At 37.5% G+C, this 17,860-nt stretch overlaps 1 pseudogene; it reads left to right on the forward strand.

Annotated features, from left to right (window-relative positions):
* Positions 14,383–14,911, forward strand: CSNK1A1P3 (casein kinase 1 alpha 1 pseudogene 3; annotated as a pseudogene).
* Positions 14,912–17,860: the final 2,949 nt, after the last annotated feature.

A 17,860-nucleotide genomic window follows, 5' to 3' on the forward strand; every position in this document is an offset into this window, starting at 1 on the left:
CATGAGCACATGGGACATTCTCCAAGAGAGGCCATATGATAGGCCACGAAACAAGTCTCAATAAATTTAAGAAAACCAAGATTATATCAAGTACTCTCTCAAACCACAGTGAAATAAAATAGGAAATTAACTACAAAAGGAATTCTCAAAACTATACAAATACATGGAAATTAAATAATCTGCTTCTGAATGATTTTTTGGTCAACAATGAAATCAAGATGGAAATTTAAAAAAAATTATTTGAACTGAAGGATAATTGTGACACAACTATCAACACTTCTGAGATACAGCAAAGGTGGTGCTAAGAGAAAAGTTTATAGCATTACACGCCTACATAAAAAGTCTGAAATAGCATAAATAGACAATCTGAAATAGCACAAATAGACAATCTAAGGTCACACCTCAAGGAACTAGAGAAACAAGAACAAACCAAACCCAAACCCAACAGAAGAAAAGAAATAACAAAGATCAGAGCAGAACTAAATGAAATTGAAACAACAACAAAAAAATACAAAAGATAAATGAAACAAAAAGCTGGTTCTTTGAAAAGATAAACAAAATCAATAGATCATTAGTGAGATTAACCAAGAAAAGATCCAAATAAGCTCAATTAGAAACAAAACAGGAGATATTACCAAAAATACCACAGAAATATTAATACAAAAGATCATTCAAGTCTACTATGAACATCTTCACATGCACAAACTAGAAAACCTAGAGGAGATGGTTAAATTCCTGGAAATATACAACCCTCCTAGATTAAGGAAGAAATAGAAACCCTGAACAGACCAATAACAAGTAGCAACATGGAAACAGTAATTAAAAATTTACCAACAAAAAATAAGTCCAGGACAAGATGGATTTACAGCTGAATTCAATCAGACATTCAAAGAAGATAGTGTCAATCTTGCTGAAAGTATTCCAAAAGGTAAAGGGAATCCGCCCTAAATCATCCTATACAGCTGGGATTACCAAAATACCAAAACCAGGAAAGGACATAACAAGAACAAACAGACAAAAACAAAACTACTGAACAATATCCTTGATGAATATACAGGCAAAAATCCTCAACAAAATTCTAGCTAACCGAATCCAACAGCATATCAAAAAGATAATCCACCATGATCAAGTAGGTTTCATACGAGGGACACAGGGATGGCTTAACATCCGCAAGTCAATAAATGTGATACACCACATAAATAGAATTAAAAACAAAAATCACACGATCATCTCAATAGATGCAGAAAAAGCATTTGACAAAATCCAGCATCGCTTTATGATTAAAACCCTCAGCAAAATCAGCATAGAAGGGACATACCTTAAGATAATAAAATCCATCTATGACAAACCCACAGCCAACATTATACTGAACCAGGAAAAGTTAAAAGCATTCCCCCTGAGAACTGGAACAAGACAAGGATCCCCACTTACACCACTTCTATTTAACGTAGTACTGGAAGTCCTAGCCAAAGCAACCAGACAAGAGAAAGAAATAAAGAGCATCCAAATTGGTAAAGATGAAGTCAAACTGTCACTCTTCACCAATGATATGATTGTATACCTAGAAAACCCTAAAGACTCATCCAAAAAGCTGCTAGGTCTTTACTAAATGAATTCAGTAAAGTTTCAGGATGCAAAATCAATGTACACATATCAGTAGCACTGCAATACACCAACAGTGACCAAGCTGAGAATAAAATCAAGAACTCAACTCCTTTAACATCGGTTGTAAAAAATAAAATAAAATATTTGGAATATACCTAACCAAGAAGGTGAAAGATTTCTATAAAGAAAGCTACAAAACACTGCTGAAAGAAATCATAGTTGACACAAACAAATGGAAACACATCCCCTACTCATGGATAGGTAGAATAATATTGTAAAAATGACCATATTGCCAAAAGTAATCTATAAATTCAATGCAATTCCCATCAAAATACCATAACCATTCTTCATAGAACTAGAAAAAAATCCTAAAATTCATATGGAGCCAAAAAAGTGCTTGCATAGCCAAAGCAAGGCTAAGCAAAAAGAACAAATCTGGAGGCATCACATTATCTGACTTAAAACTATATTACAAGGTTATAGTTACCAAAACAGCATGGCACTGGTATAAAAATAGACAGGTAGACCAATGGAACAGAATAGAGAACCCAGAAATAAAGTCAAGTACTTACAGCAAACTGATCTTCAACAAAACATACAAAAACATAAAGTGAGGAAAGGACACCCTATTCAACAAATGGTGCTGGGATAATTGGCAAGCCACATGTGGAAGAATGAAATTGGATCCTCATCTCTCATCTTATACAAAAATCAACTCAAGATGGATCAAAGACTTAAATCTATATCCTGAAACTATAAAAATTCTAGAAGATAACATCGGAAATACTCTTTTAGATATTGGCTTAGGCAAAGAGTTCATGACCAAGAACCCAAAAGCAAATGAAACAACAATAAAAATAGATAGGACTTAATTAAACTAAAAAGCTTCTGAACAGCAAAAGAAATAATCAGCAGAGTAAACAGATGACTCACAGAGTGGGAGAAAATCTTCACAAACAGTGCATAATATCCAGAATCTACAAGGATCTCAAAAAAATCAGCAAGAAAAAAAAATCTCATTAAAAAGTGGCCTAAGGACATGAATAGACAATTCTCAAAAGAAGATACACAAATGGCCAACAAACATATAAAAAATGCTCAACAGGCCGGGCGCGGTGGCTCACGCCTGTAATCCCAGCACTTTGGGAGGCCGAGGCGGGCGGATCACGAGGTCAGGAGATCGAGACCATCCTGGCTAACACGGTGAAACCCCGTCTCTACTAAAAATACAAAAAATTAGCCGGGCGTGGTAGCGGGCGCCTGTAGTCCCAGCTACTCGGGAGGCTGAGGCAGGAGAATGGCGTGAACCCGGGAGGTGGAGCTTGCAGTGAGCCGAGATCGCGCCACTGCACTCCAGCCTGGGCGACAGAGCGAGACTCCGTCTCAAAAAAAAAAAAAAAAAAAAAAAAAATGCTCAACATCACTAATTATCAGGGAAATGCAAATCAAAAACCACAATGTGATACCACCTTACTCCTGCAAGAATGACCATAATTTAAAATTCAAAAAATAATAGATGTTGGCATGGATGTAGTGAAAAGGGAGCACTTTTATACTGCTGGTGGGAACGTAAACTAGTACAACCACTATAGAAAACAGTATGGAGACTCCTTAAAGAACTGAAAATAGAACTACATTCCATCCAGCAATCCCACTACTTGGTATCTATCCAGAGGAAAAGAAGTCATTACATGAAAAAGACACTTGCACATGCATGTTTATAGCAGCACAATTTGCAATTGCAAATATATGGAACCAGCCTAAACGTCCATCAACCAATAAGTGGATAAAGAAAATATGGTATATATACATACATATATACCATGGAATACTACTCAGCCATAAAAAGGAATTAAATAATGGCATTCACAGCAACTTGGATGGAGTTGGAGACCATTATTCTAAGTGAAGTAACTCAGGAATAGAAAATCAAACATTGTTATGTTTTCACTTACAAGCAGGAGCTAAGCTATGAGGATGCAAAGGCATAAGAATGATGTAATGGACTCTGGGGACTCAGGGGAAAGGATGGGACAGGGGGATGAGGGATAAGACTACATATTAGGTACAGCGTATATTGCTTGGATGATGGGTGCACCAAAATCTCAAAAATCACCACTAAAAAATTTATCTATGTAACCAGACAGCACCTGCTCCCCAAAAACTATTGAAATAATTAAAAAAAGAAAAAATATATATTATTCACTAAACTCCATAACCTGAAATGTTAGTTTCTCCCTGATGTCACTTGCCTTCTTTCTAGCCTCGTTTTGCATCTTAGAAATCTTGCACTGAGTTCTGTACAAGGTCACCTGTGTCACTGAGGGCCTTGTTTTTTAAAACTTATAGGTATTTTATCTTCCCAAGTTTCAAAAATCCAGTTTTGCTCCCACCGAGGATTTTTCTGACAAGAGTGGTTTCCTTCTCATGTTTATGCCGGCTTTTCTTTCTGAATGCCTTACATGAACTGTAAAAATATAATTAGAAACATAGAAATATTAAAATATATCAATGTCTTAGTCTGTTCAGGCTACCATAACAAAAAAAAATCATATCTGCCTGCCAATGAACAAATAAAAAAAATTAAGCTACTGGTAAAATTCATTTTTCAAATGACACTGTTAGATATAATATAAATGGTATAAAAGTGTTAGAGCAATAATTTTCTTCTTTGTGTTAGCAGATAATTCACTTTACTGTTAAATTACTACCAATGGTAAATGTATGATTTAGATTTGGGCATATATGTAATACATATAAAGTGAGCATTTGATGATTTTTATTTGTTTCGTTTATCACTGAAAACCTAGACTACATGAGAACAGACTTGGTTAATTGGTTTTCTTTTTGAGCCATAATATAGGCCAGGAGTTGACAAACTATGGCCCACAGATCAAATCTGGCCCACCACCTATTAGCCCTCCAGCTAAGAATAGACTTATATTTTTAAAGCGTTTTTAAAATAAAATAAAAAGCAATATTCCCTGATATATGAAAATTTTGTGAAATTAATACTTCAGTATCCATAAATACAATGCTATTTTTTAAACACAGGCACCTTTGTTTGTTTATGTCTTGTCTATGGCTGCTTTCATGCTACAATGGCCAAGTAGTTTCAACTGAGGCCATAGGACCTACAAAGCCTAAAATATTAACTCTCTGGTTTTTTGCCAAAAACGTTTACCAGCCCCTGACATAGGATACAAATGGGTGACTCATATGCTCCAATTGAATATGAAGGAAAGAAAAGAGGTAAATTGCAAATAAAATAGGTTATACATTAATGCCAATGTATGCACTACTTTATTCACAGAAAACAGTTGTGAAGAAAATATGACGCCTGACCATGAATGATTCAGGACTAGGTGAAATTGTAAAAATTATTAAGATAATTAAGTTGTGGTAATTACTATAACTCCTTTCTTCATGTTATATGAAGAAATAATGAGTAAGTAAATAACTATGCTTTTTCATACTACAGTTACCGAGATTTTGAAAGGAAAGTTGCTCACATGACTTTTGGAAAGGAGAGATGAAATTAAAACACTTCATCATGATGCTGAAAATGCCAGGAAAGATTATATTTTTAGTTTCATGTTGTGTTACTCTAGTGAATAGCCAGAATCTAACACTTCAAGACCAAAATCTCACAAGTTTATATGTTGAAAATAAGATATAAATTTTCATCAGAAGACAAAATTGTGGCTCAAATTATTCCATTGCTGAGTGTTACTCTTTTTAAGCACCTAATATTTTTTCATTTTTCAGAGAATTAAATCAATGATATATTATTGTACAAACTTTAAGTACCCAACCCCACAAATGCGTAATCAGAACATGAAGAAATTTTCCAGAACTACATGAAACCTACAAGTTTAACCTCACGTGTCAAAGCAATCAACCTTATAGGTTCCTTTTTGTTTTTAGTTGGGGTCTCGCTCTGTCACCCAGGCTGGAATGCAGTAGCACAATCATACCTTCTGCAGCCTCGAACTCCTGGACTCAAGCAATCCTCCTGCCTCAGTGTCCCGAGTAGCTGGGACTACAGACATGCACCACCGGGCCCACCTAATTTTAAAATTTTGTTTAGAGAGATTTTTGTAAAGAGTATTTCTGTCTTGCCATGTTGCCCAGGCTGTTCTCGAATTCTTGGGCTAAGGCAATCCTCTTGTCTTGGCCTCCCAAAGTGCTGGGATTATAGGCATGAGCCACTGTGCCCAATCCAACTGTATAGGTTGCTTTGGTGGCTGTTGTTATTTTAATGTGATAACTCATCCACACCGTGTCCAAGAAAGTAACTAAAGCCATTTTCAGTGAGCAATCGCTCTTTAACTTCAGGTTCATTTTCAATACAAACATGGAAAACTGATTGTTATCAAATACTTGCTCCCATTCTCAGTAATGCACAAATGTAATGTTCTAGTTCAATTGAAATAATCATCAAGATAAAAACTGCCTGGATATGGAACCTCACTACTACCTTCATGAAAACTGCACATTGACTAGAAAAAAAGAAAAATTATTTCCAACCTAGAATTTTAAAGTCTTCCCAATTATCAATTAAGTGGGAGACTAGAAAAAAAAGACATTTTTAGAAATAGATTCTCAAAAACTTAATTCCTATTTATCCTTTCTTAGAATGCTACTGGAGAATACACTCCATAAAATAAGAGAAAAACCAAAGAGGAAAATAGGAGATCCAGGAACCAGGGAATCCAACACAGGAGGGAGACTAAGAGAACCCCCATTTACAGAATGAAGAAAAATCCCAAGGCTATGGTTACACGCCAGGGTAGAAGCCCACCAGTCCTGAAGGGGAAAGGTTAGAAAGTTTTGGAAGAAACTTCTTAAAGAGATGAAATTGATAGAGTATCTAATGTGTTTGAACATCATAATTGAAGATTTACACAATTAAGGGAGAGTTTGGGACTAAATTAAGTACATTAAAAAAAACAAGTATATTGACAAACAAGACACTTAAAAATTCCAAGGAAGATAAATATTGTGCTAGCAAAAAAAAAGTAACCACAAAATACTGCCTGGTTCATCAACAAACTGTTTACATGGTCATGATAATGTAAACACTGAACATTGCTCTCTTTTTTTTTTTTGAGACAGTCTCACTCTGTCTCCAAAGCTAGACTGTAGTTGCATGATCTCAGCTTACTGAAACCTCCGCCTCCTAGGGTCAAGTTATCCTTCCACCTCAGTCTTCCTAGCAGCTGGGACTACAGGTGCGTGCAATCACATCCAGTTACATTTTGTATTTTTTGTAGAGATGGGGTCTCATCATGTTGCCCAGGCTGGTTTCCAACTCCTGGGTTCAAGTGATCCTCCTGCCTCAGCATCCTAAAGTCCTGGGATTAGGCATGAGCCACCATGCCTGCCAGAACATTGTCCTTATTAAAGTTATATCTATACAGGAAAGATGTGGCAGGGGGATGCCGTGGGAGGGGAAGCTGGAGATAAAATTCAACTAAATCCTTTCGTAATAGAAAGTTAATAGTTAATGCCTAAAACAGTAATAGTGAGAAGTAGAAATACATACCTTTTATATAGATTTAAGTCAGTTACAACCACAAGAATCAATCAAGAGAGTTAAGAAGGGAAGTAGACAATGCTGGGGGTGAGCTGGGGGAGGCAAGGGACTGCTCTTTTTTACAAAAGTTTTGTGGAGGTATTTCTGTCCTTATATTATGTGTATGATTAATTCAATAAAAACAGAAAAGTATGTTTTAAATAGTTAATAGTTTTAAATAGTTACTTTTAATAGTAAAAGTATGTTTTAAAAGTACATTTTAAATAGTTTATATATAAATATTCATATATATATAAATATTCATATATATATAGAGAGAGAGAGAGAGAGAGAACTTATCTATCAATTAAAAAAACAACTTATTTAATTGAATACAAGGATGAGTCTAGGCAGGGCTGGGAGAGGGGCACCACCCACAGGAAGCACAAGTCCCTCCCCAACACCTCACCATATAATTTTTTAATGGATAGTGATGAGTATCAAACTGCTATGTTATTTAGATTCCTTCAGATATATGAAAAATGTACTATTTTATTTTAAAATGCCATATTAGTCAGGGTTCTCTAGAGGGACAGAACTAATAGGATAGATGTATATATAAAAGGAAGTTTATTAAGGAGTATTGACTCATATGATCACAAGGTACCACAATAGGCCATCTGCAAGCTGAAGAGCAAGGAAATCAGTCCAACTCCCGAAGCTGAAGAACTTGGAGTCCAATGTTCGAGAGAAGGAAGCATCCAGCACCACAGGAGAAAGATATAGGCTGGGAGGCTAAGCCAGTCTAGTCTTTCCATATACTTCTGCCTGCTTTATTCTGGCTGCTCCGACAGCTGATTAGATTGTGCCCACCCAGATTGAGGGTAGGTCTGCCTCTCCTAGTCCACTGACTCAAATATTAATCTCCTCTGGCACCACCCTTACAGACACAGCCAGGAACAACACTTTGCATCCTTCAAGCCAATCAAGTTAACACTCAATATTAACCATCACAAATTCCAATATTTAAAATGCACTAGAAATTATATCCTTTATTATAACATACAAAAATTATGTCTTATCTGGAAAAATTTTAGATATCAACTTAAACTGTTAAATTGGATTCATAATTTTTGAAATTATTTTAGGAAGTCTGAGACCAAGCATTTCATACCAAACACCTGTTAAAAGTAAACCCATCTGCGGCTCAGTTTAATAGGTGGACTCATACTCCCCTCTGGTGGTTAAGATGGTCAAAAACACATGAGATACAAATTTGGACCTGTGGCATTTTGGAAACACAGGAATTTCATTTCCTTTTGTTGCATTAAACAAATAGCAAGTTTTGCAAAATCTGGATATAGTAAAAGGATTTTGAAAACTAGGATTTGAGAACAAAATGGACCATAGAAAAACAACTTATCTGCTTTTAATAATTGTGATTTGGTGTGAACCAAGCAAGATTTTTGCTTTCCAGAGAGATCCAAACAATACAATGTCTGCATCATATTCAGAGACACGATGAAGACATTCAATTAACTGAATGCACCTACAGGTTCATTGTGTTCTCTGTGTAACTGTAGAGGTTTGCCTTTGTATAAGTGTCCCCATAACATCTTTTCTCCTTACCCATCACTGTCCCCAGGGTCTCCATGGTCTGACACTGTCAGTAACAAGAATGCACGTTACGGAGAAAGCATGGCTCAGTGGTATGAGTAGGGGATGATGAAATTTGAGAAAGACTATATATCTGAATTTTATCCCCGCCTATCACTAGCTGTGATCTTGGAAGAATTAACTTCTTTAGGCCAATTTCCACAACAATAAAATGGTTAAAATTCTAGCATGTGTGTTGCCTCTGCCACTGTGGTGTGCCCTCATGGACGCAGGCATCCCAGCACCCACTAGCACCCTGCTACAGCTGATGGAGCATACACCCCACAGCGCTGCTTCTGGCACATGCAAATGAGAATGAATCATGCTGCCACTGCACTATGAAATGCTTAGGCTGAGACCACCCATCAGAGTGCAGTGACCAGCAGTCTGGGAGCACCGTGGGCCCCCTCCCCCAGCACAGTGGATTTCTAACCTTGAGGAGCCAGAGAACAACATTGAGCCTCAATACAAGTCCCCCTCAGTTAAAGCATGCAGTCTAGGAGTTGAGAGCTGAGCATTACTCTCCTAAAATCTTCCAGAAATGAAGCCAATCAGCTGAATCCACCTTATATCACAATCAAACCCTCAAGATCATCGAATAGGATAAAAGGAAAAAAAAATCCAAAGGTTAGCAACTTAAAAGATTGAAGGAATATTCAACCACAAAGATGAGAAAGAACCATCGCAGGAATTCTGACAACTCAAAAGGCCAGAGTGCCTTCTTTCCTGTAAATGATCATACCACCTCTCCAGGAGGAGTTCTGAACCAGGCTGAGATGGCTAAAATGACAGAAATAGAATTCAGAATATGGATAAAAACAAAGATCATTGAGCTGCAGGAGTACATTGAAACCCAATCCAAGAAAGCTAAGAATCACAGTAAAACAATACAGGAGCTGACAAACAAAATAGCCAGTATATAAAAGAATATTACTAACCTGATAGAGTTAAAAAACACACTACAAGAATTTTATAATGCAATCACAAGTATTAATAGTAGAATAGACCAAGGAAGAATCTCAGAGCTTGAAGACTATCTTTCTGAAATAAGACAGGCAGACAAGAATAGAGAAAAAAGAATGAAAAGAAAATAACAAAACCTTTGAGAAATATGGGACTGTGTTAAGAGAACAAATCTATGAATGACAGGTATACCTGAAAGAGATGGGGAGAATGGAACCAATTTGAAAAACATACATCAGGACACTATCCATGAAAACTTTCCCAGCCCAGCCAGAAAGGCCAACATTCAAATTCAGGAAATGCAGAAAACTCCAGTAAGATAATTCACAAGAAGGTCGTCCCCAAGATACATAACCATCAGATTTTCCAAGGTTGAAATGAAAGAAAAAATGTTAAAGGCAGCTAGGAAGAAAGGTTAGGTCACCTACAAAGGGAACCCCATCATACTAACAGAGGACCTCTCAGTAGAAACTCTATAAGCCAGAAGAGATTGGAAGCCAATATTCAGCATTCTTAAAGAAAAGAAATTTCAACCCAAAATTTCATATTCAGCCAAAGTAAGTTTCATAAGCAGAGGAGAAATAAGATTGCTTTCAGACAAGCAAATGCTGAGGGAATTTGTTACCACCAGACCTGCCTTACAAGAGCTCCTGAAGGAAACACTAAATATGGAAAGAAAAGATCATTATCAGCTACTACAAAAACACACATAGTGTGTTATAGGCCACTGACACTATAAAACAACCACATAAACAAGTCTACAAAATAACCAGCTAACATCATGATGATGGGATCAAATCCACACATATCAATACTAAACCTGAATGTAAATGAGCTAAATGCCCCAATGAAAAGGCACAGAGTGCAATCTGGATTAAAAAAAAAAACAAAAACCATTGGTATGCTGTCTTCAAGGACTCATCTCGCATGCAATGACACCTATAGGCTCAAAATAAAGCAATGGAGAAAAATCTACCAAAAAAATGAAAAACAGAAGCAAGTAGGAGTTGCAATCCTAATTGCTGACAAAACAGACTTTAAACCAACAAAGATCAAAAAAGACAAAGAAGGGCATTACATAATGGTAAGTGATGAATTCAACAAGAAGACCTGTCTATCCTAAATATATATACACCCAACATAGGAACACCCAGATTCATAAAGCAAGTTTTTAGAGATCTCCAAAGAGATTTAGACTCTCAAACGATAACAGTGGGAGACTTTAACATCCTACTGACAATGTTAGTCAGATCATTGAGGCAGAAAATTAGCAAAGATATTCAGGACCTGAACTCAGCACTGGATCAAATGGACCTGATAGATACCTACAGAGCTCTCCACCCAAAAGCAACAAAATATACATTCGTCTCACCACCACATGGAACATACTCTAAAACTGATTATATAATCAAATACAAAACTTTGCTCAGCAAATGCAAAAGAATTGATATTACAACAACCACTCTCTCAGACCACAGCACAATCAAATTAGACGTCAAGACTAAGAAATTCACTCAAAACCATATAACTACATGGAAATTAAATAACCTGCTCCTAAATGACTTTTGGGTAAATAATGAAACTAAGGCAGAACTCAAGAAGTGATTTGAAATGAATGAAAACAAAGACACAATGTACCAGAATCCCTGGGACACAGCTAAGGCAGTGTTAAGATGGAAATGTATAGCACTAAGTGCCCACATCAAAAATTAGGAAGATCTCAATTTAACAACCTAACATCCCAACTAAAAGAAATAGAGAACCAAGAGCAAACAAATCCCAATGCTAACAGAATATAAGAAATAACAAAATCAGAGCTGAACTAAAGGAAATAGAGACACCAAAAACCATTCAACAGACCAACAAATCCAGGAGCTGGTCTTCTGAAAAAAATAATAAAATATACCACTAGCTAGACTAATAAAGAAGAAATGAGAGAAAATTCAAATAAACACAATCAGAATGATAAAGGGATATTACCACTGGACCCCACAGAAATACAAATAACCATCAGAGAATATTATGAACACCTCTATGCACATAAACTAGAAAATCTGGAAGAAATTGATAAATTCCTGGACATATACACCCTCCCAAGACTGAATCAGGAAGAACTTGAATCCCTGAACAGAAAACCAAATACTGCATGTTCTAATTTGTAAGTGGAGGCTAAATGATGAGGACACATGGACATATAGAGGAGAACAACAGAAACTGGGGCCTAGCAGAGGGTGGAGGGTGGGAGGAGGGAGAGGATCAGGAAAAATAACTAATGGGTACTAAGCTTAATACCTGGGTGATGAAATAATCTGTACAACAAACCCCCATGACACAAGTTTACCTATGTAAGAAACCTGCACATGTACCCCTGAACTTAAAATAAATGTTTTTTAAAAATAAAATAAACTAATAAGTAATTTAAAAATTCTAGCCTTGGCCAGGCATGGTGGCTCATGCCTCTAATCCCAGCACTTTGAGAGGCCGAGGTGGGTGAATCACGAGGTCAGGAGATTGAGACCATCCTGGCTAACACAGTGAAACCCCATCTCTACTAATAATACAAAAAATTAGCTGTAGTCCCAGCTACTTGGGAGGCTGAGGCAGGAGTATGGCGTGAACCCAGGAGGCAGAGCTTCCAGTGAGCCGAGATTGCGCCCCTGCACTCCAGCCTGGGTGACAGAACGAGACTCCATCTCAAAAAAAAAAAAAAAAAAAAAAAATTCTAGCCTTACAGTTGCCTTGTAAAATTAAAAAAGCACATAAGTAAGATGCTCAATAATAGCAACCAATTGTCGTTATTGCTACTTTATATGTTTGAAAGATAAGTAGCTCTGTCCATTTAGAGGATACAGAATATAATCTTAAGGAGTCTCTTTTAGTAGCTTAGTCATTTCTACTTATTTGGTCACGATAGTGCCATCTTCCTAAGGGTTTTCTTTCCCATTTTCTGACATAAATATTTCCATTGAACTTCCTCCCTTCTCCTTTTCTCAGGTAATGAGCTGGGTTGGTATTGGGAAAAAATATCCAGCCCCTAAAACAACCAGACTTTGAGCAATCATACCCATATGATTGCTCCTCCCTGACTGCTCTGACACTTGACCCCTGTAACTTTTATCAAAGGCTTCATCCTTGCAATTATCTGCTCTTCTGTGTGTTCCTTAAATAACTAAAATCAGAACTATCTACTGTCATTTTTCCCTCTCTACTGGATCATTTTCATCCCCCGAAAATATCCTCAAGTATCTGCTTCTCTTGAAAACAATCCCCACCCCCACCTCATTCCTCGAAATCCTTCTTAACTTCACATGATCTTGAAGCTAATGACCTATTTCTCTGTTTCTCCTCACCATTAAACTTCTTGGGGCGGGGTCCAGTGGCTCACACCTGTAATCTCAATACTTTGGAAGGCTGAGGTGGGAAGACCGCTTGAGGCCAGGGGTTCCAGATCAGCCTGGGCAACATAGTAAGACTCCTGTCTCTATTGAAAATAAATGTGTTTTTAAATTTATTGAAAATGTTGTCTAAATTAAATTTCTTGGAAGAGTTGCCTATAGTATCACTTTCTATTTCCTCACCTCACATGCTTCCCTCAGTAGTATTCATTTGGAATAATTTTCTTCCACTCAGCTGAGACTTCTCTTGTCAAGATCAGAAATTAATTCTGTGATACTACATTCATTGAAACCTTCCCTGCTCTTATTTTAACTAACTCCTTAGCAGCTTTTGACAGTTGACCACTTAAATTTTTTTTAAATGTGGTATGTGAAAATGATATACTGGTGATACCTTGATGACTTGGTAGTAAATAATACAAATTCACTCAAAATAAATTAAATAGAAAAGGATTCACTGGAAAAATGAAAAATGATTAGGGGCCGGACATGGTAGTTCAGGCCTGTAATCCTGAGACTGAGATGCAAGGATCACTTTAGGCCAAAAGGTCAAGACCAGCCTGGGCAAGACAGTGAGACCTCCATCTCCACACACACAAAAAGTTTTTAATTAAAAGATTAGCAGCCGGGCATGGTGGCTCACGCCTGTAATCCCAGCACTTTGGGAGGCCGAGGCGGGCGGATCAAGAGGTCAGGAGATCCAGACCATCCTGGCTAACACGGTGAAACCCCGTCTCTGCTAAAACTACAAAAGAAAATTAGCTGGGCATAGTGGCGGGCGCCTGTACTACCAGCTACTCAGGAGGCTGAGGCAGGAGAATGGCGTGAACCCAGGAGGCGGAGCTTGTAGTGAGCAGAGATTGCGCCACTGCACTCCAGCCTGGGTGACAGAGCAAGACTCCGTCTCAAAAAGAAAAGACTAGCATATTTTAAATTAATACTATTTATTATAATATAGTGCATTATAAATACAAATAAATACAAATTAATATTGGTAACATAGTTAAAATTTAAACCACTTCCTTAAATAATTTGACTATTCATATTGACATTTTATAGCTTCAGTGGCTAGAACTAAAATAGAAAAGGGACTGGTTGAGGTGGCTCATGCTTGTTATCTCTGCACTTCGGGAGGCTAAGGTCAGAGGATCACTTGAGCCCAGGAGTTTGAGACCAGCCTGGGAAACATAGCAGGACACTATCTCTACAAAAATAAAAGTTAAAAAATATAAAGTTTTAAAAATAGGCAAGGGCTAAAGGCTGCAACAAAGAAACAAAATTATAAAAAGATTAGTGAAAACAAGATGTTCACTACTGTTGCAGTTTTATGTAAGGGGTTTCCTGCAGAATTTATCACATACTTCAACTCAGATAGCAACTATAGCTCCCATCTGAAGCAGCTATTCCGCATTCTTTTCAGGACCGTGAACCATCAATATGACTACACATTTGATTGGACAATGTAAAAGCAGAAAGTAGCACAGCAAGCAGCCTCTTCCAGTGGGCAGGGTCAGCAGGCCCAAACTCCCACAGGCAAGCAAACTGATAAAAGCAAGAGTAACATGAAAGGTTTCTAAGCATGAATTGAGGAACAGAAGAAGCAGAGCAGACGATCAGAGCAGCATTGGTTTCTCTCCAAATCTAGAATTTTTAGTTCATATGTACACTAGCCAGTGGTTATGGACAGTGTTGATGTAAAGAACTTAATTTCAGTATAAACGGACTCTGAGCAGCATTGGTGATGTTGTATCCTGAGTTGTAGCCACTGTAACTGTGACTATTAACTGAGAGAGTGAAACATGGTGTCTGGTTTTCTACTGCATTTTTTCAAGTGGAAAAGTTAACTAAATGGTTGACACACACAAATTGGGGGAATTTAAAAAATTAAAAAGTAGAAAAGGCACTCTGGAATCCTCTGCATTCTGGAAGTGAGAGAAGAGGTGACACTTTCAAAAAGACAGACTATATAGAAGAAAACTTCACTGGAATGGAGCAAAGAGGTGAAAGACCCAAGGCAAAGACTAGGAGGGAGTCTGACCTCACTTTCTGACAGCAGCTAGCCACTAGTAAACTCTGACTCTTGCCGTTTTCTTTCTGGACCAGTATAGGGCAATCTTGAATATCACAGTAGTATAAAATATTTATTCACCCTAATACTAAATTACTAAAGTATAGGTGAAATGCAGTGTCTTATTTTTGTTTGTATGTGTGTGTCTTGTTTTCACAATTTGCAGTCAGAGCAAAACCATAATTAACTGGAATTCTACTGATCAGAAAATAGGTTATACAGAAACTGAGGTGAGGGAAAATGCTTTGAAGAAGGAAAATGGATTGCTAAAAAATTAAGCAGAGTTTGAGGTACAGAAGACAACCAGTTGAAAATGTCCAATGGGCCTCTGAAAACAGCACTCTAGAGTTTGGGAGAGGTCACCATTGGCAATGATATAGAAAGCATCTACTGAAACATTATAATTAAAGCCACGAAAGTAGATGGCATTGCCAAGGAAGAATGTGTAAAAAGAACAAAAGAGAGTGTATTAGTCCTTTTTCATACTGCTATGAAGAAATACCTGAGACTGAGTAATTTATAGAGAAAAAGAGGTTTAATGGACTCACAGTTCCACATAGCTGGGGAGGCTTCACTATCATGGTGGAAGGTGAAGGAGAAGGAAAGGCATGTCTTACATGGCAGCAGGCAAGAGAGGGTATGCAGGGGATCTGCCCATTATAAAACCACCAAATCTCAAGAGATTTATTCACTATCATGAGAACAGCATAGAAAAAACCCACCCCTATGATTCAATTACCTCCCACCAAGTCCCTCCCAGGACACATGGGGATTATGGAAGCTACAATTCAAGATGAGATTTAGGTAGGGACACAGGCAAACCATATCAGAGAGCTTGGTACATTTTTAAGGATTTCAAACAGACAGAAAAAAAGAGGTCTGATTTAAGGGACGGAAATCATCCACTACTATGTAGCAGCACTACTTGGCCTCTCAGGAGCATATTTCCCTTTCATTCATTTTTCTCTTTTATTCTTGCTGTCTCAATCCCAATTTATTCTATTTTGCCCACTTCACTCTGGGAAGGGTGAGCTACTCCCAGCTCCAGGGGTAAATCCTAATTTACCTAAGCTGATCATTGTGCTCCATTCATCTTGTCATAGATTGGCATATATATCTCTATATATAATATATGTGTGTATATATTTGTATATGTTATATATAATTGCGTATATGTTTATACACACACACACACACACACACACACACACACAGTAGTTCTGGCCCATGCATTGTGAGGGAAAACCTGCTGTAGAGACTTCTGGGAAAGAGTTTCGCTGCTGAGAAATGAAGTTCCCCTTCTTCTAGCCTTTGTTCCTCTTGGAACTGCAGCAGCCATCCTGTATTGAAGAAAACTATCTCAGGATGGCAGAGTAGAAAATGGAAAGGACCTGGGTCCTCAATCACATCATTAAATTGTTGATGAGTTATCCTTGAGACAAAATAGTTCAGGACTATGGAAGATAACTTCTCCTCAGTGTTTAAATCAGTCTAGTAAGGATTTTCTGCAGCCCAAAGTACACATTAATATGTAAAATGCAGCCAGAGTTAAGAAGAGTCAGATCAACCTTATCAAATGTTCCTGATAGTTGAAGAAGAAGAAGAAGAGTCATTCTTGGTTTAGGTCCAAATACAAAGTGAAAAACTCAAAATCCTTAATTTTATTTTAATACATATGTGCTATATATAACACATATAGCTTAGAAGGAAATTTTAGTCATACTTCTTCAAATAAATGAAGAAATATATCAGAAAAGAACTATTAGGAGGCAGATGATTATGATGACTAGATAGATAGATAGATAGATAGATAGATAGATAGATAGATAGATAGATAGAGGGACTTGGTACAGGGATTTGACCTTATCAACTTTGGGAGCTGGTTAAGCAGTCTCTGTAAGGCTGTAGACTTTGCACCTGATGCTGAAACTCTTCAGTCCATACAGTAGACAGTTGGGAAAGAAGATGGGTGTAAAGTGAGGAAGACCAAGGACAGTCTCAAATTCATAAGCACAATTGGAGCCCATGAGAACACACTGACCAATATGTCATTTCTTTTTGCTTCTCGCCTTAAGGAAATACAAGCCCTGCAGAAGCAAGGGCCTTTCATCAAGGTGTTAAACACACACACCTGGCCCAGGAGTCGGAGACACTGACTTCAGGGGAGGGTAGAACAGGTGCAGGCCTGGTCACTGACTCATGCCAGGAGGTGATCCAACAGACAAACAACGAGCTGTCTAGGCCATAAAATGGCTGCTTCTTCACTTTTACCCTCTGAATCTCGCACAAAAATGTCCCGCCCACTCTAACTGGCAACACACAGGACAGTAAATTCTGGGAAGTGTAATGTAGACTAGCCAAGTTGACACATTAAAAAGTCACCAAAGCTTGCCAGTTTCTTGTGAAATAAATGGAGTCTATTGTTATCGTGGTGTTTCTTTTTCTTAATCAAATAGGACAGTCTTTGGAAAGAACATTTACATATTTACATGCATCCTTACCAAAGCCTTTTAGTGGCATCTGTTTTGCAAAATATTTGCATCTGCTCAGTCATCTTACTATTTTAATTAGATATTATAAGTAAGAGAGTACTTACCGCCTCTGAACTGTATCCTGAACTTTCTCAAATATGCAGATAGTGAGAGATGTCCATTC

This window comes from Homo sapiens, chromosome 5 (assembly GCF_000001405.40).
Source record: "Homo sapiens chromosome 5, GRCh38.p14 Primary Assembly".
Classification (NCBI taxonomy): Eukaryota; Metazoa; Chordata; class Mammalia; order Primates; family Hominidae; genus Homo; species Homo sapiens.